Below are 25,778 nucleotides of genomic sequence, written 5' to 3'. Positions count from 1 at the left end.
AGGATAAGACCAAGTCAAACCAATTAAGGCATTAATAAGTCCAGAGGAAAGAGAAAGACATGCAAAAGCTAGATTTTTTTTTTAATATAAAGAGAGACACAGACCCTTTTAGAGAAATGTATTTAAAAATTTATAAAGCGTTCAAACATACACTCATTAGAACAGTTCTATTCACTCACGCATGCCTTCAGGAAAGTGTTACGGGCCAGGCCATCTGCCCTGTAGGAAACAGGTGGGTAGGACAGTGAGGAAGCAGGAAACAGAGGGAAAACCCACCACAGCAACCCTTGTGCTTGAGACGGCAGCATGAGTGATGGGCCAAACGAGGCCAGAGCCCAGCAGGCCGCAGGGACCGGCCCCAGCCTGCACTGCAGAGCCGCCTCGCCAGGTGCCCAGAGCAGTCTCTGTCTTCCAGAGCAACACGGTGACGTAAAGCGTTCCCAGTGGACAGATTCTTTCCCCCCATTTTTTCATCTTAGTTTGCTTTGAGTTGCTGTTGGAAGTTTTCTTGAGGGAATGGTCTTCCCCAGCAGATGAGTCAAAAATGCCGCAAAGATAATTTAAGGCATAAAAGAGCAAAACCAAGCGATGAGCAAAAAGCTTAAAGTGTACAGGTTTCAATTTAAACAGGAGGTAGAGAGCAGGGAAAAGGAACCCTCCAAAAAATAGGTGCGTGAGGAAGGCAGAGGTTAAAAAAGAAAGTTCCAAGAAGATATTCTGCTGGTTGGAAATGGAAGAAACCAAAAGACGCTGCGTTGAGAAGGTTAATGATCGGCTTGCTCTTATTAGAAGACACGAACAAAGCAAGGAGTAGTTAGTAGCGCCGTGGGCCGGCCCGCAGGAGGGTTAGCCTGGTCCCAGGTAGAGGCCGCAACGGGCGGCGGAGAGCGCTGGGCAGCCGAGTTAGTGAGAACAGCCGCGGTGGCGTTTAGAGCTGGCGGGACAGAGGCAGGGGGGCGGGAGGGCGCGGGCCCCCCGACGCGCTTACCCCGTTGCTCTGGGTGGACTGCACGGACTGCTCGCTGGCCGAGGAGCACGTGCTCATGCGGTCAGTATCCTTGCCAGGGGCCGCGTGGCGGGGTGTCTGCCGCTGGAGGGAGTCGCTGTCCCCCGGGAAGGTGAAGGAGCCGGGTCGGCTGGCGGGGGAGGCGGGGATGGAGCTCCAGAAGGAGCCCCCCTTCTGCAGGGGGCTGCTGGGGGGGAAGGGCTCCTTGCCGAGAGAAGGGACCGCGCTGGAGAGCGGCGAGTTCAGCGGCGAAGCGGCCCCGGCCCGGGGCTTCCCAAGCGGCAGGGTGCCCAGGCTAGCGCGCGCGTCCTTGGCGGGGGCGTCTGGGCTCGACCCCGAGGCGTTCGCGGCGCCTTTCCTGGGGCTCTCCAGCACCTTCATCTTGGGGATCGGCTCCGCTTCTCGCTCGGACCCCTCGGCGTCCGCGCCGGGGGGCCGCCTGCTGGGCGCGCTGGGGCCGGCCTCGGGGGCCGCGCCAGGGGGAGGCAGGGAGGGCCCGGGGGTGGACGTACCTGACATCTTGTCTGCCTCTGCCTGGCTCGAGGCTGCAGAGGAGACCAGCACGGGGGGGTGGTGTCGGACAGGCTGGGGGATCCGGGAGGGCCGGCTCCTGCTCGTGCTGGGGGCGCCGCCGCAGCTGCTGGGGCCGCCACTGTGGCCGCTGCCGCCACTGGGGGCCCCGCCGCCGCCGCTGCCCCCACCCCCGCCGCTGCCCCCGCTGCCGCCGCCGCCGCCGCCCCCGCTGTGGTTCCTCTGGTACTCGATTGGCGATGTCAAGGCTGTAAGACAAGACAGCGGGAGAGACTGGGTCAGGGCGCCAAGGAGCACGCCGCGGGGTGAGGGAGGAACAGGGCCCACCCTGGGATGGGTCATGGGGCAGACCCCGTGCAGGGGCGCAGAGCAACCCCACCCATCAGGAGAGCTAGAAGAGGCCCCTGCTTGCCAAGGTATTGGGATGCCGGCTGAGTGCAGCGGGTGGAAGGGGCCGCATTCCTCAGCACATCCCGGACTAAGGGCCAGTGTCCACAGGAAGACCAAGGCAACAGATTTGACTAGAACTCCTCCAGCTACCAACTGGCTTCCGCAAAGGTCTTTCCTAAACCAGAGTCCTGGGGTGAAAAAGAAACCCTGGGGCTGCCGTGGAGGCGGTTTCATAGACCACCTCTGCTCTGCAGGCTGAACACAGCCCTGAGGGAAGCTAAGGAGCTACTAGAGGCCCCTGGAGCGGGAGGCTGTCCCATCTCTTGACTTGGGTGCCTGAGTTTTCTTACATCTTCATTGTAGAAAAACACAGAAATCAGGCCAAAATAACATGTATGGAAACATGCACAAACTCTTGAAGTGTTAAAGCCTTTGAAAAATACGACAAGCAGATGCAGCCCCCCAGCCCCAGCCCCAGGCATGTGTGAGCAAGCGTTGAGGAGCCAGAGGCAGTCTACAAACTCTGTGCTGGCCACAGCCTCTTCCAGGACTAAGGGGTGTGCAAGAAGCAGGTGAAAGGGTCCCAAGCTCCCAGCCCATGAGCGATCTCCTTTAATCCTCTGGGATAGGTATTACTAGTTACTCAACTGAGTGGGTGTCAAGTAAACTCTGACATCACAGACCATGCGTGCAATCTGGGGGCAGTTCATTCTATTTTAAAGACAATGATGAAAATTTAGAGCATTCTCAATTCCAAGCTATGGATTGGAACTCAATGCACCACATAAGAACACCACATTGAACCTCTTCGCACCTGAGGAACTGTGCCTCCCTATCCTCAAGCGCCCACCCCTAGCTGCAGATGTAAATGATTATCAGCTTGCAAGCAGGATGGAAACTTGGAGTTAACACCCAGGCAGCACATAACACTTGGCTAAAAATGCCATGAGGCTTGAGATTTTTCACTGAGTGCCTATGTTCCTGGCTCTTGAACATCACGCAAGGTGTAGAGGTGGCTTTCTTGTGACAGAGAACATTACAACATCCTATTGAGCTTGAGCAGGCATAGATGCAGACCGTGAATACGAACATGAAGCAAAGAACCCAGAAGACACAGATGACATGGGCACATAGCTTCGGACTGAATTCTCAAAGTTCTTTGCTGATCACCAAATTAAAAGCCAGTGTTGAAGCCAACATTTGCAAAGAGATCAAATACATTAAGAGGCAATGGAAGGGTAGTGTGGCCACGCCCGCTGTGTTCTGCAGCATCTCTGCAATCCCTCAAGTCACGGAAGCAGGGAAGTACTGAACCGTCTCTTTTTTTTTTTTTGAGACAGAGTTTCACTCTTGTTGCCCAGGCTGTAGTGCAATGGTGCGATCTCAGCTCACCACGATCTCCGCCTCCTGGGTTCAAGTGATTCTCCTGCCTCAGCCTCCTGAGTAGCTGGGATTACAGGCATGCGCCACCACGCCCGGCTAATTTTTTTGTATTTTTAGTAGAGACAGGGTTTCTCCATGTTGGTCAGGCTGGTCTCAAACTCCTGACCTCAGGTGATCTGCCCAACTTGGCCTCCCAAAGTGCTGGGATTATAGGCTTGAGCCACCATGCTTGGCCCCATCTCTTATTTTTTTAATGGGGAAAGGAGGTGTGGGTGTGCAAGGCCCTCGTGAATGTCTCTGGCCAATGCCATCTCGTGTTCTCGCAAACTCCTCTTCCTAGGACTGGGCCCTCGTACATGTTATGTGTGGGACAGTGTAGCTGCGAGGGGCACAGACCAAGAGCCAGATGGCCACTCTGTGTCCTGACTCTGCCCTCAACAACTTGTGGGACTCGAAGCAAATTACTCAGCCGCTCAGTGCCCCAGCTTTCTCATCTGTAAAGCAGGAATAATAATAGTACTGGCCACACAGGGTGGTTGTGAAGATGAAATAAAGCAATATCTAGGCAGTGCCTGAAGAGTGGTGAGTGCTAAGTTCTGTCATTACTATGGATATGAATGGGAGAGGGAAGATAAATACAAGTGAGTACACGAGGAAAGAAAGCACACATCTAGTAACAGAACACACATTACCATTTAAAAAATTGCGCTGGTTTTCTAAAATTTGGTTGATTTCATGGATCCAAGTTTGCCGGACACTTGGACTAGATGAATGCAAAATGAAGGTCTCTACCACGTCACCCGTCCTCGATGTCAGAGCAAATTTACAGGGATCATTTTCCACATTTTCCTCCAGGCAAAGGCAACTCACCTTAAAAAAAAAAAAACATTATTCATAATAGCTAACAGGTGGAAAGGAAGCAAACCATGTGTCCACTGACCGATGAATGGACAAAGAAAATGTGGGCTATGTGGACAGTTTTTCAGCCTTAATGAGGAAAGAAATTCCGACACACAATACGACATGGATGAACCTTGAAGACGTTATGTTAAGTGAAATATGCCAGTCTCAAAATACAACTATTGTTATGATTCCACTTACAGGAAGTCCTTAGAGTAGTCAAATGTGGGGATAGGAAGTAGAGTGGAGGTTGCCAGGGGCTTGGGGGTGGGGAAGTGGGGAGTTACTGTTTAATGGGTACAGGGCTTTAGCTCTGCAAGATGAAGAGTTGTGAAGACAGATGATGGTGATGGCTGCAAAACATGAATGTTCTTAATCCCATGGAGCTAGGTAATTAAAGATGGAACATTTATGTTATGTGTATTTTACCACAACAAAAAATTAAAGCACATTGATCCCCACTGGCCAAGTGCAAAGTGAAGTTCATCCTAACTCAATCCTGAAACAAGCACTTTTCAGTTGAACTGCCATTTTTACTGCCTCAGAAAACATCTGAAGCTTTTTAATGCCTCTTAACTCAGGTACATGGGGAATACAAGGCTGTTAAACTAATAGTTTGAACTAACAGCCTGAACAATTAACTAGAAATATGCGTCTGGGATTACCTGTTTCCCAAACCCCTCTATGATGCCTCAGTATTTATCCTTACTTACTTCCCAGGGAGTAAATGACACCATTAAACAAATCTCAAATATCACTAAAACCTATGTTATAAAATTGTATGTGATATCATGATTAAAATATGTCAAATAATTTTATAAAAATATGTAAAAAATATATACGAAATTCCTACAGTGCTGGAGTGATTTTCTGCCAAAAGACTTGTGAGAAGAATGGGTAGGCAGTTCTCAGGGGATGGGTGCAGTGCAGGGGATGGATGAGTGCAGTGCCCGGGATGGATGAGTGCAGTTCTCAGGGGATAGGTGCAGTGCAGGGGATGGGTGGTTCTCAGGGGATGGGTGCAGTGCAGGGGATGGGTGTAGTTCAGATGATGGCTGCAGTCCAAGGGATGGGTGCGGCTCAGCGTATGGGTGCAGTTCAGCGTATGGGTGCACAGTTCAGGGCATGGGTGCACAGTTCAGATGATGGCTGCCGTCCAGGGGATGGGCGCACAGTTCAGGGGATGGGAGGCTCAAGTGTAGTGGTGAGCCCAGAGGGTCTGTGCCTGACATGGCCTCAGGGTGAGGGGCCTCAAAAGGCGGAGTCTGGAGGGGCAGGCGGGTGGTGGGAGGTGCGAGGGCCCGCAGCCCAGCCTCATGCAGAGGCGGCCTCCTTCTCCAGCTGTTTGGCTCCAGAGCCCTCCTAGGTGCTGGTGGGCAGAGGCCCCCAGCCTGGCACCTGTGCCCACGGACAGACCCACCCCAGGTTTAGGCAAATGGAGGCTGCTGGGGACAGCCAACAAAAGCCTGAACGGAGAGTCGGATGGGGGAGGACGCAATGTTCTGCCTGTGTGCTGTGAGGCCCGCAGGTGTGCACGGTCTGAGAGTTCCCTGTCCCTGATGGCGTAGGGCAGGAGGCCCTACCAAAGGGAAGTACATCTCCCTTCTGACCTCAGGGTCTGCACAGCTGCAGAGCCAGGAGGACCCTGGCGGGGGCATGTATCTCCCAGGAGTCATCTGCTGGGACCTCAGGCCTGCCCTCTGCTCTTCTCTACCTCACCCTTGGTTTGTCCCTTTTACAGACTTGAGGGCCATTGGCAATTATTTTCTTTGTCCCTCTGTCTTCCTTTCCTATTAGAGGATAAGCTACATCAGGGCAGGGAGGGCATCCAGCTGGGCCATTCCTGGAGCCCTCACGCCTGTTGCTGAGTGCTCAGTACCTCCTTGGTGAGTGGAGGAAGAGAAGAAGACACCGAGTGAACTTTTTCTCTGATCATAGAGCAATCCCCCAAATCCGTGCTATCAAATTTAAACCAGTTTTCCTCGGTCCTAGAGAAGGGGGTGCATAAACACTACCCATGACCAGTTCTCATCATGGTAAGAATGAATGGCTGTGGTTACACAGAGGTGTGTACAAGACATCAGCCACTCAAGAACACAGACAGTAAAAAGAGAAATGGGGTGAATTCAAGGCTCTGAAATATACTAGAAAATTCTCAAATACTTAAACGAAGCATCAGGGTATGTCATCATTAAAAGGAAACAGTGTATCGGTGTGACGGGTACATGCGCTGGCACAGAGAAATCACACAGAGACACACGTTACCTTGATACTGTTCTTAAACAGGAATCCCGGCATGGAGAAGCCCTTCTTTTTATCAAGTGGTTCGCTGAATATGACGATCTGCTCAAAGAGGAAGATGCGCCTCTCTCTGCAGCGAGGCAGAAGTCCTGCATCTTGGTCTGTGACCAAGAATGTGTCCTGCAAGAGCAGTTTACCCTGGGCAACGATTTTCCCCTAAAACAAGAAATAAAGGGGGAAAAGGAAGGGGAGAAGAAAACATTGCCTTCTAAGTTATCTGAAGCTGTTTTCTTTAGATTTCCTCCTATGGAATAATGTATTTTTCTTTTATTAATTTATGGAGTTTAATTTTTTTTTTCTTTTACTGTTCTTGGCTCTAAACAGAATAATTATCTAAATAAAATTCTTGCCAACATTTGTATAGACCTCTGGCGCCTCAATTACAGTCACAGATTAAAAGTGGAGTTTTAAATGTCTGGTTTATACTAGAACAGTGGTTCTCAAAGTGTGGTCCCTGGGTCGCCAGCAGGAACTCATCAGGCATGCACAGGAGTTTTCAGAAGCCCTCCAACGGCCTCTGTGTGTGCGTCAGAGAGAACCATAGCACCAGAACTTTCAATGCTAATTCTCTAGCAAAACAGTAGGCAAGAAAATAAAAACTTCTCCTGCCTCCTTAACTCCGTAGTCAAATTTTTAAAAGAAGATTCTGGTTCTGAATTCATCTTGAGGATATGTAATAGCTAATATGTAATATGAATAGTCTAGCAACTCATGCAAACATATCTTAAACTAATGAGGAAGTATCAAGTCCCAGAGATGAGAGAGTGGGGACCTCCGAGGTCCTACTACATCCATAGCTAACCATGGTCTTAAGTGCTGAGGAAAGGAAACTCAGCTCTTACAGTACTGGGCCCAAGAGACAAAGCCCGGTCCTGCTTGTTTCTGCCATGAGACACTGGGCTTTGAGCACAGGCAAGTCCCAAAAAAGCAAACCAAACGCACCAAAAAAAAAAAAAAAAAAAAAAAGGAAATAAAATATCAATCAGATTGAGGTAAAGTGAGAGAAGCCAGAAAACCAAGTGAAAAGGATCAGCTTTCTCTATGTGGAGAGAAATAATCCAAGACAAAAGAAAGAGATGAAGGCAGAGGAGCTCTCTTAAAAAACAAGAGCCGCATTACGTCGAATCCTTGCAGCCGCCCCACGTTCATCATGTCGTTGCACCGCCTGGGTACTATGCACATGACTTCCACAGCTCTCTGTGGGAGGGGAGAGAGAAGAGTGAAAGCTCAAGTTCCTCTAGGGAAAATCTGACGTGCTCACCCTCTGACCTGATGAAGTTCTGTTCTTCCTCCCCACCCTCTAGTGTGCAGGGCTTATGGAGATGCACTGGAGAGACTCTGTCATCCACTGCTTTGACCCCCTCCCAGGGCCAGACCACTGTTAGGAGACACTTGGGGATTAGGAAAAGAGGCTGGTGGGGATTTGGGTGCCCACAGCCGCTGATGCATGTACCTCTAATTCTGATGTATCCAGGCTGGCCTTTTTGGAATACTTGAGGAAGTCCTGCAAGGGAAATGGAGAGGACATGATAATGGTGACAAAGACAACAGCAGCTGACCTTTTATTTTTTTTTTTAAGAGACAGGGTCTCACTATGTTACTCAAGCTGGTCTTGAACTCCTGGCCTCAAGTGATCCTCTTGCTTTGGCCTCCTGAGTAGCTGGGACTACAGGAATGAGACAATGCACACAAGCTAACCTTTTTGGCCACTCACACTGGCCAGACATTGGGGTTCAGCACTTTAGTTCTGAAAGAATTTTTTTTTTTAAATAGACAAGCTCTCACTATGTTGTCCAGGCTGGAGTGTAGTGGCTATTCAAAGGAGCAATCATAAGCTCACTGCAGCCTCCAACTCCTGGCCTCAAGCTATCCTCCTGCCTCAGCCTCCCAAGTAGCCGGGTCTACAGGTGTGTACCACCACACCTGTCTGGTGCCTTAGTTCTACTTTATCATATTATTCTCTCAGTAACACAACAAAAAGGCATTCCTACGTAGATTTCAAGCTGCAGTACACAGAGTCAGACCAGATCTATCCAATTGTTCCTGTTTAATCCAAGACAAGCTCTTTGTCCCTCTCTAGATCCAGGTCCTAGGCGTTGTACACGAAGGAATATCAATACACTTGAAGTCTCTTTTATCACAGAAAAACACGTGACTCTGCCTTCGGTTATGCTTAAGAATTTAACTCAATCAAGGGCTAGTGTTAAGCCAACAGAGAGGAATACAAAAGGATTCCAAATTTACTTTTATCCAAGGTTCCAAGAAGATTAGAAAATAATTAAAGTTGATAGAGCAGAAGAAAAATCATTAGCATTCCAAGGTCTGTGGTGGGGGAAAAAAAATTCACTTTTACTGATATTTTCATTCTGAACTCGATGTAAATAAAAAATTGAGAAAATTGTTTGAAGTGTTTTCTTAAATTTTTAAGGATTAACTTATCAGAAATAATATACTTGTTACACAGATGATTCCCGTCCTACCAAATCCTTCTTTCCCCCACTGAGTCTTATTTTTTCAGCAAACTCACTCCTGACACCAGAGTCTGTCCCGCCACCTCACCTTCAGTTAACAGCTGATTTAAATTTTTAAGGTTTAACTTATCAGAAATAATATACCTGTTACACAGATGATTCCCCTGTCCTACCAAATCCTTCTTTCCCCAACTGAGTCTTATTTTCTCAGCAAACTCACTCCTGACACCAGAGTTTGTCCCGCCACCTCCTCACCTTCAGTAACAGCTGATACTTCATGATTCTCTGCACTGGTTTGATCAACAGATCTGTGAGCTGTAACCTGTGGCCAAGACGCTGCTTTAAGTCCTACAGTTTTAAGAGAGAGAAAAGATCGTATGGGCTGTTCATTAAAGGGCAATTTTTTAGTCTTTGTAATTGTCAGAAAGACTACAACACTGGCAGTAAAAGTAACGAGGAAAAAAAGCACTAGACTAACTAGAGCTTTGCTAGTTCACAGAATTTCCAAGTTTTACACTTTCACCTGAGTTGTTTTTCAAAGCAGTCTTTTATGCTTGTTTAAAGGCATTTTTTCAATTGCATTATTTTATTCATATAAATATATATATTATTTTTAGGCTATAAGTTTAGATAATAATTATTCTGACTTTGTAATGAGACTTAAGTGTAACACTTATTAAAAACTCTTATTTTTAACAATGACTGCAGTCTTCTGAATGCCAGGGGTATGACCACAGACTAAATTCATACTCATTTCTCTGATTTACAGGAAAGAAAGAAAGGTTCAGAAGTCTTATCACTCAGGCTAATTTTCTTTGGAAATTAGTCTCCTGGGAAACCAATGATACTTTCATTTTTAGAAATAAGTTGGAACAAAAGATTCAGAAATACTTTCTGTTTGTATCTTAGGTCTTACCTCAAAAAAGGTATCAATGTATTCTGAGACAATGTGCTCAGACTTTGGTTTATTTTGACAATAAGCTATGTACATGTGCAACCTTCTCTCCTAGGAATAAAAAAGGCAAACAGTTGGGTTATAACAATGGGAAATTCGATTAGAATACACGAGTACCCGCACATTTCAGCACATTCATAAAGGCACTCATCTTAAAACCAAGCTGCACAGCTAAGGCTCTCGGGAGTAAATTCCAGATTCAGGATGTAGATCAGCATTCTACGGTGTGGCTCCAAAACCAGTCCTTCCCCCATCACTCTCCATACACACCAAACCCTTCACTTTACAGTACCAAATACCAACAAACACCATAGGTAGCAAAAGAACATTTTTTTGTTGTTGTTTTTTAAAGAGATAAGGTCTCACTCTGTTGCCCAGGCAGGAGGGCAGTGGTGTGATCATGGCTCACGGAAGCCTTAAACTTCCGGGCTCAAGCGATCCTCCTACCTCAGCCTCTGAGTAGCTAGGATTACAGATGTGCATCACCATGCCCGGCTAATTTTTAATTTTTTTTTTTTTTTTTTTGTAGGGATGGAGTCCTGCTTTTTCACCCAGCCTGGTCTCAAAACTAGCCTCAGCAACCCTCCTGCCTTGGCTGCCCAAAGTGTTGGGATTACAGGCATGAGCCACCACACCTGGCCGCAACACCCTTCTTAATATTAAACAAAGAATTACTGCCATCACTCCAAACCCTGCCAACAGTCCTAGTAAGCCTGGTTGGTTTTAGTAGAGAAGAAGCTCTTTAATCTCAAATCCTAAAGGCAGAAGAAAAAAAATGTAGACAATGAGCCTTTCCATAAATCAGTGATCCTCAAAGTACAGTGTGCAGACCCCCAGGGCCCCCTGAGTCCTTTCAGTGGCTCCATTTGGTCACAACTATTTTCTAAATACCACTAAGATGTCAGTTGTCCTTTTTGTTGTGCTGACATCTGTGCTGATGTGCAAAACCAATGGTGGGTGAAATTGCTGGCACCTTGGCAAAAACTCTTCACTGCCACAAATTTATAGTAAAAAACAAAACAAAACTGGTTTCACTTAAGAATGTCCTGGATGAGTAAACATTATTCTTTTTATTAAAACTCAACCAGGGAGTATACACGTTTTTAACATTCTTGTGACAAGATGATGTCCACATAACACTTTAATTGCACTTGATAAATGTCTCAAGAAAAAGCACTTATGTAACCGAGTTGTGAGTGGAACTAACCACTTTTTTTTATGGACCACCATTTTTACTTGGAAGAATGATTGACACAAACTATAATTATTTACTCTTGGGTATCTGCTAGACATTTTCTTGAACATGAACAAAATAAGCCTGTCATTTCAAGGCAAACAACTGGCAGTGTTTGTTAGTGAAAATTACAGCTTTCAAGCAAAAAATTAAAATTTTGGAAATATGTATCTGCCACTCTGAACTTCACAACACTTAAAGACTTCAAAGAGATGGGTGGTCAAGTTCAAAAACTGGATTTTTGGATACTGTGTAATGAAACGTGTCAACCTCTGGAAGATCTGCCTAAGTCTGTGACCTGGTATCTTCCAGTGGACTGATGCCTGATGTCACAGGACCGCGCATGGCTGCAGGAGCCTCGAAGCCCAATAGTTCAATGTATTTAATGTCACAGCAAGGGAGAAGTTCATGGGTAGGTTTTCAGATTCCGTATTGCAACTAACCTTTAAGAAATGATCAGCTGTCAAGTTTTTGGTATAGTGTCTAAGAAAACTATGTAATTATCTGAAAAGGCTATTAAAATACTCATCCTTTTCTAACTATATGTGTGTGAAGATGGATTTGTTTGGATACTTGAACCAAAAAACACAGCAATGAGTTGGATGCAGAAGCAGATATAAAAATCCAGCTGTCTTTTACTTAGCAAGACATTAAAGAGACTGGCAAAAATGCAAAAACTCCTGTCACTAACTTCTAAAAATATATCATGATTTTTCCCAAAAAACAAAAAACTTTAATGTTAATACGCTTATTTTCGATATCCACACTATTTGGCTGTTATGTTAAACCCACTGCAGGTACAGTTACATCTCCACTCAACAATACCTGCCTGTTCACAGACACCCCAGATACTGTTCAGGCCTGGCTCTGGTCTTCTCTCACCAACCTGTACTGTTGCTAGCCAAATAGCCAGCTTCAGCCAGGTGACTGGGAAAGCAGGTAACTCATGTTGAAGAAGGGATTTTAATTCCAACTCATTAACACCATGCAGTTTGATTTTATCTTAAACATACGCACTTACATAAAGTATAAGTGAGTTCTCCTTTAATCTGACAAACCAGTGACTAAGGATGACACCATCAGAACAGGATATAAGCAATGCTATTGTGCTTACGTGTTTAACAAAAAGGGATCCTAGTTTTTCTGGATCTTCAAGGCACTTCTCTAACTCTCCTAAAAAAAAGCTGGAAAGAAAGGAGAAAATATTAGAACTATTTCCAGTGTGGCCTTCTAATTTTAGATTTAGGTTTACATTTTTTCTTTTTCTTTTTTTCTTTTTTTTTTTTGAGAGAGTGTCACTCTATCACCTAGGCTGGAGTGCAGTGGTGTGATCTTGGTTCACTGCAACCTCCGCCTCCTGGGTTCAAGCAATTCTCCTGCCTCAGCCTCCCAAGTAGCTGGGGTTATAGGCGTGCACCACTATGCCTAGCTAATTTTTTGGCATTTTTAGCAGATACAAGGTTTCACCATGTTGGCCAGGCTGGTCTCAAACTCCTGACCTCAAGTGATCCGCCTGCCTCAGCCTCCCAATGTGCTGGGATTACAGGCGTGAGCCACCGTGCCTGGCCAGGTTTACATTTTCAATAGTCTGTTCTGACATGAGCAACTGTGAAGTGTGAAGTATATATTTAACAAATATATGGAAACTTAACAAGTACAAGGAAAACCTTTTGTTAAGCTACAAAGCATAAAGGAATACAAAGGCACAGAAGATGAGGCACGACTGTATATCCCTTGGCTGGTGACCTTCCTGGTCTTTGGATAACAAACATTCTCATCTCTGTTCAAGGACACAAGTGCTAATATCCTAGGCTGAATAATGAGTGAAAAATAGATGTTTCAAAGTACTTGGACATTTTTTATTTCTGAAAACTTGGTCTTTATACCTGCGAATTTCATATTCATTCTAAGATAATTTTTAGAGACTCAAATTGGACAGCAGATATACAAAACTAAATATGTTACCTGTGCCAGCTTTATGAAGTTTTCTCAAATGTTATCAAAATCAACTTCTAGGTTATAAACATCAGCTCCCTTTAAGATTAAAATTAGGTATCATCACAGTGACAAAATAGCTGTAGGACAACAATGTTCATTGTTTTCTGGGCTGTAGTTGTCTTTTAAGATATATGTCCAGCTTAGTTATCACTTAAATATATTTTTATTTATGTTAATATTTGGTATTACATTAACTCATAAACCACCATGCCAATTAATGTTGTACTAAGGGGTTTACTATCCCCGCTGCGCAGACAGCATCTCTGGATACAGTGTCTGTCTGGTCATCCCAGAAACACTGTGTCATTTTCAGCTTCCCTTCACAGCCTTAAAAACTAGCCTTGGAAGTAGGAGACTAAATCATAATACAAAATATCCCTTTTTGAATTGGTTTCACTGTAGTTGTTCAGTAAGTCTACAGCACAGAGCTATAAACTGGAGTGCTGTTTCTAAAGTTTACCGATCATTTATCTGTAAATCCAAATAAATTAGACATCACAGGGGATATGAAAATAAAGACCTCTCTGACCTGGGTTCAAAGGTTTTACATTCTGTTAGGAGGGAGAAGCACAGAAATAACAACACTACTTGATACGTGACACGGTAGTTCCTCCTCATGTCTGTCCAGTATCTCATAGTTTAAAAGAGCATATTCCCATCTGCTTCTGCAGAAGAGAAGGAGTCTGATGGGGAACACCCAGGCCTAATGGAGAAGCAAGTATGGAGCTCAGCTTCAGAGAGAGGCCAGAGCTTTGGAGGTGATGACATCGTGCTCCACCCTGAGCAGAGGGAGGAGCAGTTGCATCAAGACAGGAGAGCAGAAGGCCCGGCCAGGTAACCGGAGCAGACAGTGCATCTGGAACATTCCACTGGAAGACCAGTGGCCAGCATTAAGCAATCCTCAGATGATTAAGGATTTTTAAAGTTTAAGCAAAGTGATCTAAAGGGACAGGTATGTTGACAAGCTCTGGTAGCCAAGGTGAGCTACGTAGCACCAGCCCCCAGATGGATTGCCTCCTGATTAGGATAGGTGTGGGGAATGTAGTGGGATCAGAGTTGAATTTCATGGGCAATCGTGTCTACTTTTTCCATTAAAATTGAATTGGGCCAGGCGTGGTGGCTCATGCCTGTAATCCCAGCACTTTGGGAGGCTGAGGTGGGAAGACTGCTTGAGCCCAGGAGTTCAAGACCAGCTTAGGCAACACAGCAAGCCCGTGTTTGTCTACGAAAACCAAAAAAGTTAGCTGCACATGGTGCTGCGTGCCTGTAGGCCCAGCTACTAGAGATGCTGAGAGATGCTGAGGCGGGAGGATTACTTGAACCCAGGAGTTCAAGGCTGCAGTGAGCTATGATCGCACTATTACACTCCAGTTTGGTGACAGAGCAAGACCCTGTCTCTAAAAAATAAAAATAACATAAAATAATTGGACAAATGAGTGTCTTCAAGGTCCTCTAATGATAACTTGTATTTATTCTAAAGATGGCTGCAATTCTAGTTAGAAATACTTGAAGCTTATTCTATGCAGATGTTGTTCTAAGTACTCTGTAAAAGTATTAACTCAGTCACTCTTCACAAAAAACCCACGAGGTAAAAGTATTAACTCAGTCACTCTTCACAAAAAACCCACATTATAATGTGGGTGTGCAGATGAAGAATGGAAGTGTACAGCAGGGAGGCCGAGGGCTCGGGGTCAGGACCAGGCCAGCAGCTCCGGCAGCTGGCTCCACGCTGGTGCTTCCAGCTACTCCCTTCCACAGACTCTCGACATGGACCAGCACGAAGAAGAGACAAGACTCTCTCCGTGCCACCAAATGCTACTGCAGAACTCCTGGGTACATCAATATCTCCTTTGCACCAGCTCCCTCCAGGAGGCTACACAGGTAATACGATGAACAGAATAAATTCCCTTTGGCCTGGCCTGCCTTGGTTTAGCAAGTGTGGCTGCTTTGCACACCATCGGGCACAATGCATGTTTACGTACTCTCTGTGCCAGTCGTAAATCTGATGGATGTTGCCGAACACAATTTTGTCTTTTCCTTTCATGTCATCAGGAACACCATCTTCTTTCATAAGTGCCATGTAGCCCTACAATTAAACAGTTATGATAAGTGTATTTCATGGAATATGTCTGAATCAACTAGTGGCTTATTGATTAATAGTCACAGAGGGCAAAATGGACACATGCACTGTCTTGTAACCAGTTCTTTGTCTAAAAACAAACAAAAAAAACCGATATGAAAAGTATCCTTAACTGATACTTGGAATATACCTATTACATTCATTGCTGTAATTTTATTTCCCTGGACTGTTCAGCATTCACAGATCAAAAATCTTCTAAGGAATTAAAGAAGTTTAAATAAATGTAAATGGTTTCATTAAACAGTTTGTAAATATTAAATATTTGGTCAGAATCATATCTCCTGTTTTCAGCATTTATCTCTTAGAAACAGAAAGATTTTCTTTTCTTTTTGGATTATTTGTGTAATCGGTTAAATAAGGGTTTAACAATATTCTTTTTATAAACTGATTTTTAAACAACAGTTGATTGAATATGCTGCTAAAATGTGGCTTAAAATTTCTATTTAAGTCTGTACAAGAACCTCTTAAGTACTCAGGTTGCTTATCTCATTGTGAACAATGACTGCAGATAAATCAAGCATGTTAAATCTTTTGTGTTATGCAATTGACTTTAATAGCTGGTACTTTTAATGGGATGTGTAACCAAAAAGTATTGTCCTGTACAAATCTGCAAAGATGAAAGAATACACATAAAATTTTATACCACAAAAATAGCTTTTTGATGAGTTGAGTTTCTTAATCTCACTAATCCCCGAATTGACTGGCAGGGATTAGCCTAGAGATGGCTCTCGATCCAGTACAAAAGGCAGTGGTTTGCTATGGCTACAGTGCTTGGCAACTTCTGGTCAATGGAAATGGCAATGTGTTCTGTACAAAACTATCAAGTAAATGACCTGGTGCAGCCACAGTACAGGCTCTGAACCTGGGTGGATTCAGGATGGAACCGAACCCACAGCTGGGCCACACTGACTTTTTCAACCAGTAAGGTCTTCATTTCTGTAGTGATACAATTAAGGCAAGATTCCTGTCTACTAACTACAGTATACTTACTTAGTATCATTTAATAATAATATCAAATTATTTATAATAATTGTAAATTTCAACTGTTAAAAAAGATTATGTCAAGATACACTATGCGAAAAAGAAGCATTTACAACTGAATACAGATGGTAAAGACAATTGGCTAAACTTAATTTTTCGGAAATACATCGTTGGTCACTTTTTATTTTGGGTCAAAAATGTTTTTAAAGCTTTTGAGAGGTGTTCAACTGTCTAAAACGATACTACTTTTGACAACTCTTGGAACTGATACGAAGATACTAAATTTCTGGCAATACACACCTCAACCACATAGCCAAGGTCCCGCACATAGTCACGCTCTGTCTCCACTAGTTCTTGCAAAACGTAGCTGGAGAGAAAAAATATTGTTTATCATGCAAACTGTTTTCTAAATGAATTTTTTTGTACCTTTGCTCCTGGTCAAGATGGACTCCTTCCAGGACTGAATAGTAATGTATCAAATTTGTACATTTAGGTGTTAAATTCTGGAGAGTCCCAAATCACTTACAGGTTCAAGTGGGTGACCCACGAGAGCTCTGGAGGTCAAAAGACACCTAGGCACAGTGCATGAGGGCAATCAGGGTGAATTCACCCTTCTGGATTCTGATCACATACAGGGACAACAATGAAGCTTAGACATAACTTTCTGACAAAGCCATGATAGTAAAGGAAGTGGCTTTTAAAAAATGATTAAGTCATTTTAACCTTCACTGGCTATACAAGAAAAACTTTTAAATCAGATGTTTAAACCTTGTGTCTAATCACATCACTCACAAGTATTTCTGTTTGTTACATTCAGTAACCGTTTAAGGCCACTCAGATAACAGAAGACAACCATTTGATCAGTATAGCAAACAACCTCAATTGGCCTGAAAAGGTTCATCCATGTGTTGTTCAGTCATTCATTCAACCAACATCAACCTGGCACCTCTCATGTGCCCAACACCATCGGAGGTGCTGGGATACAGTGCTGAATAAAACACCCAGTCTCTGCCGTTTCGTAGCTTACGTTTTTTTTTTTTCCTTCTCCAAAGGCAAGTTTAAACCTTTTGTAACATTTTTCAGGACTCTTTTCACCATATGCTGCTTTACTGGCATTGAGAAACCAGTAAAGTATGTTCAAAGAATATTCAAGTTTTGGGGACTGGTTCTAATTTTATATTACTTTTTCTTTCACAATCACATGTACAATAAAAAGTCTAGGAGTTTCTCACCACATGTGGCAGAAGACATTTTTGTCTTGCATCATTCTTACTTATGAAGTATCATATACAAATAAAACAAGAAACTGCAGCTATGGAATACTGTGCCCTTATTAGGTCCTGAGTCTTTTACATACGTGCAGTTACTTAATGAGAGGCCCTGGAGCTTCTCATCTCGGTAATTCAGAGCTGAATCTCAGTCACATTTTTGAAGGCAACAAAGACAGGACGGAACCCAGAGAACAATAAGAATGAAAACATTTCTGTCTTACTGTCTTCTCTTTAAAGAGCTGGATTTCCTTTCTTCCATCTCATCAATGGGCGAGGAGGAAGAGAGAAGGGAATTATCCGAAGGGTTGAAGGAAGGGCTGCTACTATCTCCCTGGTCAACAAGGAGTGAGCTGGGGCGATCCTCCAGTGCCTGGAAGAAATTGACATAATCAACAACACTTACTGCCCACAGCCCATGATTGGCTAAAACTAAGACAAGAAAATACCCAAAGTCAGAAAATACAGAAAATGTATTTGTGAAATTATAAAATCTTTGTTTGTGAAATTATAGCATTTAATAACACAAAAAACCCAACTATTAATAAAAAAATAGAGTCAAAGGAGGTGGAGAAAAAAGTTGGAATGAAAAGGATAGTGAATTTACATACATTAATATATTCTATTTCTTGTTATCAAACAAGTAGAAATGTTATACTTGCTTATGTCAGAGTACTGCACCCATTTTTGGACATATCACACATATTTAATATCTAGCAATTTTCTTACTGGTTATATTCCTGCCAAATGAGCTGCTGGGATGTGCGTGGGTCAGGCCAGTGTGGCACCTGGACATGGTACCTGCATTCCCTGTTGGTGGACTATGTAGCAACATCAGCAATCCAACAAACTTGGTTTGTTTCCTGATTATCCTACTAGAGCTTTGACTCATACTTCAATGCATACAAATCACTCTGGTAAAATTAATCTCCATCTAGCAACTTCCATTCTATCCCTCTATACAAAATAGTAATCGTGCTTGTCTTAATTACTTCTGCAATACATTCTTTCCCCCACTGGCTTTTGGTTTCTATAGGTGATTGTTTTCATTGCTGTATCCCCAGTAGAACCTCATGCAAATCTTTGCAAGTGTTCAGCAAATCTGTAAGTTGAATATTGGTGACTTCTCTCCTTGGATTAATGTGACAATGACTGGTGACTGATTGCTTTCAATTTGGTAAATATTAATCTCGTTGTTTTACCTGGATTCACAGAACACATAAGATTTATAGTTCTTTTAACATTCCCAAAGCAACAAACTGGATATATAGATATGATTGAACTGGAAAAAAATGTGATGAATTTATTCTAGGTTTGAACAGCACAATACAAAATGCAAAAACAATACCTCACTTAAAACATTTGGTATTAATAAACTAAAATCTCTAACACTTGTTCTATTTTCTCCTCTTAACAGTAACAGACTGAATCTGATTTCATTGTTAAGCAGAGCTTTGAGGACACAAAGCATGTACTGTACAAGCAATCTTGTTAAAACCCATGGAGCTATAAAAAACACACCAACTGCTGATCTTATTTTTGAAAAACAGGACATTAAGTTAGTTAAGGAACAGAGTTTGATCTGAAAAATAAATGCACTCTTTTAAATAAATAGCCATTGAGCTTTACTGGAAGCAAACATTTTGCTGTGAGTAGCAGAGCTTGTTTCACGCTCATCAGATCACATCTGTTTTTGAGAGCGAAGGGAGGATGTTCTGTACCCCCCATCCCCCACCTGGACAGCTGAAGCCTGTTAGATTGAATTCTGTTCATTTGAACAGTGAGAAAAAACAAAGAAAAGAAAGAGAAAGGCTCCAGATGCCCCTGATGCTGCAGACGGCAGGGAGGTAAAGTCACGGACTTCATCAGTGTCCATGGGGACCTGTCTTCCAGCTTTCTCGACCTGCAACAATGGAGTCCCCAGGCCCCTCGGCTGCCTGTCCTAGATCTGATCTTTCCTGACAAGATGGGCTGCCGAGAGGGTGCACACACCCTGAAGCGGTGCAGTTGTGGCTAGACGTCCTTATCGCCTTCATGTGGCCCATTTGCCTCTTCCACAAATGTGTGTGAGAAGGCTGTCACCAGCCTAAGGCTGTCTCAAAACTGCAGCCACTGGGACTTCACAGATTTTGGATGAATTATTTGTGAAACTCTCTGGGTTTGGTTGTTTTTTGTGTCCTTCTCCTCTCTTTCTTACATGAAGATAGGTCTACAGAAATATTCTACCTCTTATGAGATTAATTTTGATAAATTACATTTTCTTAGAAAACTGCCCATTTCATTCAGGTTTCATTTTAAATTTACTATCAAAGAGATGAACAAAATAATGTCTTATGATTGCTTGAATTTCCTCAGTTTTTTCCTCTCTTATAATTTCTTAATTTTGGGAATTTGTGTTTTCTGTTTTCTTGACATGGTTACCTAATGCCTATATTTAAAGAATAAATTTTTGGTTTTATTATGCTACCGTTTTCCAGCTCATTAATTTCTGCTTTTATCTGTATAAATTCATTCCTTCTGCTTTTCTTTGGTTTATTTTGTTGTTTTTCTAACATCTTGAGTTAGATGTGATTTCATTTATTTTCATTCTTTCTTGTTTCTCCCTTTATATTTTGATTAGTGAAGAGAAGAAAACCCCAAAGTCAAGTTCACACAATCACTGTGGCGGCAGGGAACTATTACTCTATTGCCGACATGCAGGAAAAATGCACAGCCTTTAAAATAACCAGCTGCATCAAGAACGTGGAGGTAAGCCAGACGAATGAATCCAGGGAACAGTTTTCAGGGGGGCTTTCATTTTTCGAGTCAAATCCTCAGGTTTTAGGTTTAGGTAGGTTCAGTTCCTTAAACATCATACTGTGTAACTGCTGAACATCTTCTCTCCTCTCCTCCCTAACCCAATAAACACATACAGAGTTTCTGAAGAATAAACAATGCAGTGTTCAAATCCAATTATGAGTGTGCGACAGCCTCAGAAATCACCCACAAGAAAACACATGTGGATGCTTAAGGATCTACTGCAGAGTCAGTATAAGTTTAGGATATTACAATGATGCATTAGTGTTTTCTGACAAAAACTAGTTCCCATGTGACGTTAGAGCATTAGTGACAGGAAACCAACACAGGGTGATGCTTCTCTTGAACCAGAAAAAGAGGGGAGAATTTAGATCGCATTCCCTGGCAGAATGAAGAAGGGATGAACCTATCACATAAAGTACAAACATGGTTCTCCCAAGGGAGGGGAAGGCACCAGTGAACACCCATGTGGATGAAACCTGGTTGAGAGCTCCCATGTGTAGCTGAAAGACAGTCTCCGAGGCTGAAGGACTTGCCTGGTGGAACTCACCGTAATGAGACTGTGAACCCAAGTCTATCTGACTCCAAAACCTATGCCTTTCCTATGCCAACAGCTTTATGCCCACTGAAGTGAGCAGAAACAACTCAGTTTCACTGAGTAAACCGAGAAAGTTTAATTCTTCAGAATTGAAAAAGGAGATTAACACAGTAAGAGTCAAAACTGACCATGCCACAGACCACCTCTCCATTTGGAAGTCCACGTGAATTAATTACAAATGAATCACAGACCACATAAAATGCAATACAATTTAAACAGCTGCAGAATAGTGGCCAGATCTGCCTCACAGCGTTCCCTGGGAAACCATTTCGGCTATTTGGTAAGAATGATTTTAATGGTCATTTAACTGACGTGTATAAATGGCTTTTAAAAAAAAGTTTAAGGATGCTTAAAAACTCACTGGATACAATTTAAGCACCCTTCATTTAGACAGTTTTATCAACTTGTCTTTTAAAGAGATACCAAGGATGTAGCTGAACTCAGTACATACTGGCATGGTTCCAAGCTCCTTTTTTTATTTTTTTGATATAGGGTCTCACTCTGTCACTCAGGCTGAGTGCAGTGGTACAATCTCAGCTCACTGCAGCCTCAACCTCCTGGGCTCAGGTGATCCTCCCACCTCAGCCTCCCGATAGCTGGGACTACCGGTGCATGCTACCACACCCAGCTGATTTTTGTATTTTTTTGTAGAGATGCGGTCTCGTGTTTCCCAGGCTGGTCTCGAACTCCTGGGCTCAAGCAATATGCCTGCCTTGGCCTCCTAAAGTGCTAGGATTACAGGCATGAACCACCACACCAGGCCTGATTCCAAAATCTTAACCAGTGGAGTCCGAATTCGTGAGTTATCTACCACACCCTAGCAAGCTTCCTGTTCAAAGTTCACTGGGTCTTCTCCGGAACACCACACGATTACCTGGGGAGAAATTTCTAGCTATGGCAGGGTGACACGTCAGTCCAAATTTTTCTTTATATAATTCCCATTTGACTCAGTCAACCAGTTTCATTAGAGGTTGTCTGTGGATGAAGGAAGAAATGGGAATGATATATCTGGTACCTAGTTAATGCCCAAATGCAGGAAGAGAAACTTCTAACTTTAAAGAAGTATACTCTGATTTAGCAATTCCAGTGTTGAAAATTCACCTGACAAATATAATCACAAACATGTAATGGATGTTCAGAGAAATATGGGAAACAAGTATGTATTAGGAATATATTTAAATAAATTATAGCATAATCTTGTCTCTGACCCTTAGTGGCTAGTCAAGTTTTTAAATGTTCTGTGTGCCTCAATTTCCTTATCTGTAAAATGGGATAACAATAGTGCATAACAACCTCATAGGGTTGTTGTGGGAAGTATATAAATTAATACATGCTCAGCACTTAGAACAGCGCCTGGCTTAGAATAAGTGCTCAGTGGTATTATTATCACAGAATCCATGTAGAGGAATACTATACAGTTATTAAATAAAGGAAAGAGGTAATCTGTATGTACTGACGTGAGAAGATCCTTAAGATGTGTTAATTATTAGAGTCTTAAAAATTGAATGAATCCATTTGGAAAGAAAACGCACACACATATATATGTTTGCACCAGCAAGGAAAACGTCTGGAGGGAAACGTATCAGAACTATTCGCAGTGGTTACCTCTGGAGAATGGATTGCTGAGACAGACTGAGGGCTTTTACTTTGGGAGGAGCTGCTTTTAAAAGACGTTGTCTTTATAGGGATAGTAGGATATACCAGTCTAAAAAGTTGTTACCATTGGTGGTTTTTCCACTTCCCAGTTAGGAAAACTACAAAAACAGAAATTAATTGATTTGAATCAGTTAGAAGCAACACATGCCTGTCTTAACTTCAAAGAACCAACATTTAATTTGGGGCTTTTATCAAATGAACCCACGTTGGCCAACTGGCAACAAAGAGATCACTAAGAAAATGAAGCCCTTATATAATAATGTAAACCCTTCTCTCTCACACATTGTGAACCCAAATGAAAGATCTCAGGGGTTGCAAAACAAAACGGAGAGTCTAACTGTGGGTACCACTGACCCTGGCACATCTTCAGACAGACTGGAGCTGACCACATTTGCAGTGACTGCAGGCAGGGTATGTGCAGTGAGGTTTGCCCCCAGCTTCTAGGAGGGAACTTGTAAGTCCTTGGAATGTTCTGCTTGATGAGAATGTCTGTTTACCTGGGGGCCTGGGACCAAGGCAAATAGTCTATGCTAGCAATGTGACAGTGTCTTGATCTCTGGAGGGGCAGGAGACTACCTAAGGTCAGCCACACAGAGCAGTCAGCCATATGCGTCTGAGCCCAAACAGACACTCAACACCAAGGCTCGGGTGAGCTGCTGTGGTTGGCAATCCTCTGTCTGCCTGACTCCACTGGGAGAGCATGGCTGGCAGCTTGAACCAGGCACTCCCTGAGACCTGCCCTATGCAGTTCTTCCCTTGCCTATTTTGATCTGTGTCCTTTCATGGGAATACACTGCAAATGTGGGAATAATGGCTTTCCTGAGTTCTCTGAGTCCTTCAAATCAGTGAACCCGAGGGTGGTCATGGGGACTCCTGAGATGTGCCATAAGCCACAGCCACATTCTGCAGCCCAGAGCAATACAAAGACAAGGGCAAATCCATCTGCAAGTAGCAACACAGAGCAGCTTCCAAAAGTCAGACTTTCTCTGGGAGGCCTCACCATCTTGCTTTTCACGAGTTCCTCAATTGCACTGACGAGCTCGGCTGCACTCGGTGTTTCGGAGCTGGTGGGGCGGACTAATAACCGAGAAGAGGCCTACAGAAGAAATTAAGAAAAGGAGGGGGTGGGGCAAGGGCTCACATTAGTAACTGGTCAGACAGTAAATTCCCCTGCAAGCTCCATCTCTTGTGAAAGTAATTCCAGACAAAAAGACCACAAGTTTGTCTTTGTTTACATTTATTTAAAGTCATCCTTTTGAATTTACAATATTCTGACAAGAAACATTAAATAAAACCTGTCTGAGATACATGTGGGAAGCAGACAGTGTCTGATTTGAATCGCAGTCATGTAACATCACAGTGTTTTTTTCAAAGAGGTGACTAGGCAAGGGAACGTTCTAACCGTAACTTTCGCAAGTGCTGGCAAGGCTCTGGGCTAGGGAGAAGGAATAGAGAATCTGACCTACAGCAGAATGAGAGGCTTAGGGTCTAGTGAGAGAATCCTGGAATAATCAGGAAACAAAACAGGTACTAAGAAATGGCTTTACTGTGTTTATGGGATTAAGAAAAAAAAGAAACGAGGAAGAGGAAAGGAACGGGGTGCGGTGACCAGACAGGGAAGGAGGGGGACAAGCTCACCATTTTCTGTGCCATCCATTTCCCCATGATTAGTGCAGAGTACAGAAGAGCTGAGGCCTCACAAGCTATCAGATGCCACTTATGGCTAGAATCGAGGGCGTAAAGGGGTTGACAGGAAATCTGGGGGAGGGGCTACTAAGTTCGAGTTTCAGTAATTAGCAAACACGACGTGTTTGCAGATTACTTGAGCCGTTAATTAACTGGGAACTAGAAGGGGCGTAATATGAACCTTGCTTCATATTAAGGACAGCGGCGAGGCATGCGACCCACAGCGGGCTGTCCTGGCCATGCGTGTCTCACAGCAGACAGATACAGGCTCATACACTCACAACAAGGCTTTTACACGTGTGGGTCAAAATATGCACTTTGCAAAACAAATGTTGGTTTGGTCTAATGACATTTGGAATATGGGGTGAAGAAAACAAAGAAAAAAATTCAAACGGAAAGGTAAGGAAATTGAGCCAAAACAGACACAGAACACAAATCAACATAATGCTGCAGTGAAAGTTTACAAAAAGAGAAAACAGAACAAAACAAAAAATTAGTCACGAGATTATATACTGTGTGGGAAAATCACTACAGATTTTTGTAAATGAAGAACTGCTACTGATAATACTCAACGAGGTAACATAGTAACTAGCAAACAGAAGGATACAGTGCAGGTCACTCTTTAAATGGAGAAAAATCCTCCCTTATGGGTGAGTAAGTCAACAAGGCCCAGCCCCTCAATGTTTGGACAACCACCCAGATTTAAGAAATGCCAGTTTTCTGCTTTTCAAAAAGGCATGGCTTAGCGTATTACAAAATAGCTTAGGAAATATCACAGAAATCACACAGCCCCATGTCCTAGCCAGGTAGCCTGTGTACTGGGTGGGGTAGGGGGCTGTGGTCCTCTCACCTCAGGCTCCCTGTTCCTTCTCCCCTACACATGGTGGGGAGCCTGAACCTCAGATGCACACAAAACTCCAGGACTCCAACCTGTGCTCAGTCCTGCAGCTCACAGCCATCATTGCAGGCCCCACAGCACCCTTACAGTGTGCTGGTCTCGTGTTAAAAAGGGAGGAGGGAGTAGCTTTCCACCAACAAGGGGTGGTGGACAGGTCTGCCTTGGGTTAAGAGGAGTGCATGATTTGACTTGGCCTCACAGCTGCTAAGCACCGGCTGAGGCCAATCCCATGTCGTAAAATAGAGGGTGATTAATCTGGCAAGTGACTGTGCAAGTACTGACAAGGAAGTCAGGGAAGGAAAAAGGGAAGCATGGGGGAAGATGTTGATAAAGTTATCTGTTTTACTCAGAAAATTTAGTTACTGCCAAAAAAAAAAAAAAAGCATCACCAGTAATGACTTCATAGCATGATTTTGAGGGGCACAATAGGGCCAGAATGCTAGAGGATGTGCAAGCCACACTGAGCAGGTTTCCTTTCTGCTATTTTATTTTTTAGGGCTCTACAATTGGGCTGACAAAATAATTTTAGACTACGTAAGAACTCAAGAAAACAAATGACTTTCATGGCTTGAAGCTCCTGCGTAGA

The 25,778-nt window shown here is 43.6% G+C and overlaps 1 protein-coding gene and 1 non-coding gene across 12 annotated transcripts in view, besides 2 other annotated features; both read right to left on the bottom strand.

Moving 5' to 3' along the window:
• The window catches only part of TRIO (trio Rho guanine nucleotide exchange factor), a 366,863-nt gene that overhangs the window by 20,956 nt on the left and 320,129 nt on the right, over nucleotides 1-25,778 (bottom strand). For 10 of the 11 annotated variants that reach the window (XM_047417679.1, NM_007118.4, XM_017009802.2 and 7 more), the window contains 12 exons: nucleotides 23,609-23,704; nucleotides 17,783-17,931; nucleotides 16,591-16,657; nucleotides 15,152-15,255; nucleotides 12,286-12,355; nucleotides 9,899-9,988; nucleotides 9,238-9,330; nucleotides 7,965-8,015; nucleotides 7,631-7,708; nucleotides 6,476-6,667; nucleotides 4,003-4,180; nucleotides 989-1,785 (listed from right to left, as the gene is read on the bottom strand). In XM_047417679.1, coding sequence (XP_047273635.1) covers nucleotides 989-1,785; nucleotides 4,003-4,180; nucleotides 6,476-6,667; nucleotides 7,631-7,708; nucleotides 7,965-8,015; nucleotides 9,238-9,330; nucleotides 9,899-9,988; nucleotides 12,286-12,355; nucleotides 15,152-15,255; nucleotides 16,591-16,657; nucleotides 17,783-17,931; nucleotides 23,609-23,704 — 1,965 coding nt within the window. The remainder of the gene's footprint in view (nucleotides 1-988; nucleotides 1,786-4,002; nucleotides 4,181-6,475; nucleotides 6,668-7,630; nucleotides 7,709-7,964; nucleotides 8,016-9,237; nucleotides 9,331-9,898; nucleotides 9,989-12,285; nucleotides 12,356-15,151; nucleotides 15,256-16,590; nucleotides 16,658-17,782; nucleotides 17,932-23,608; nucleotides 23,705-25,778) is intronic. The other variant, NR_134469.2, reaches the window with a different exon arrangement.
• Nucleotides 23,501-23,672: a silencer, noted in NCBI's record as "fragment chr5:14465686-14465857 (GRCh37/hg19 assembly coordinates)". NCBI's record gives its function as "represses an EF-1alpha promoter that drives an FKBP-Casp9 reporter gene in an ReSE screen in K562 erythroleukemia cells {active_cell/tissue: K562}" and the evidence as "EXISTENCE:reporter gene assay evidence [ECO:0000049][PMID:32094911]".
• On the bottom strand, nucleotides 25,182-25,266 carry SNORD170 (small nucleolar RNA, C/D box 170). The gene has a single exon (NR_145815.1). It is a non-coding gene; the product is annotated as a small nucleolar RNA, C/D box 170 (small nucleolar RNA).
• Nucleotides 25,295-25,589: a silencer, noted in NCBI's record as "tiled region #14564; HepG2 Repressive non-DNase unmatched - State 15:Elon". NCBI's record gives its function as "represses a minimal TATA promoter and a strong SV40 promoter by Sharpr-MPRA in HepG2 cells {active_cell/tissue: HepG2}" and the evidence as "EXISTENCE:reporter gene assay evidence [ECO:0000049][PMID:27701403]".

Source organism: Homo sapiens, chromosome 5 (assembly GCF_000001405.40).
Source record: "Homo sapiens chromosome 5, GRCh38.p14 Primary Assembly".
Classification (NCBI taxonomy): domain Eukaryota; kingdom Metazoa; phylum Chordata; class Mammalia; order Primates; family Hominidae; genus Homo; species Homo sapiens.
Note: the sequence above shows the minus strand (reverse complement) of the source record. Positions and strands in the feature narration are given on the sequence as shown.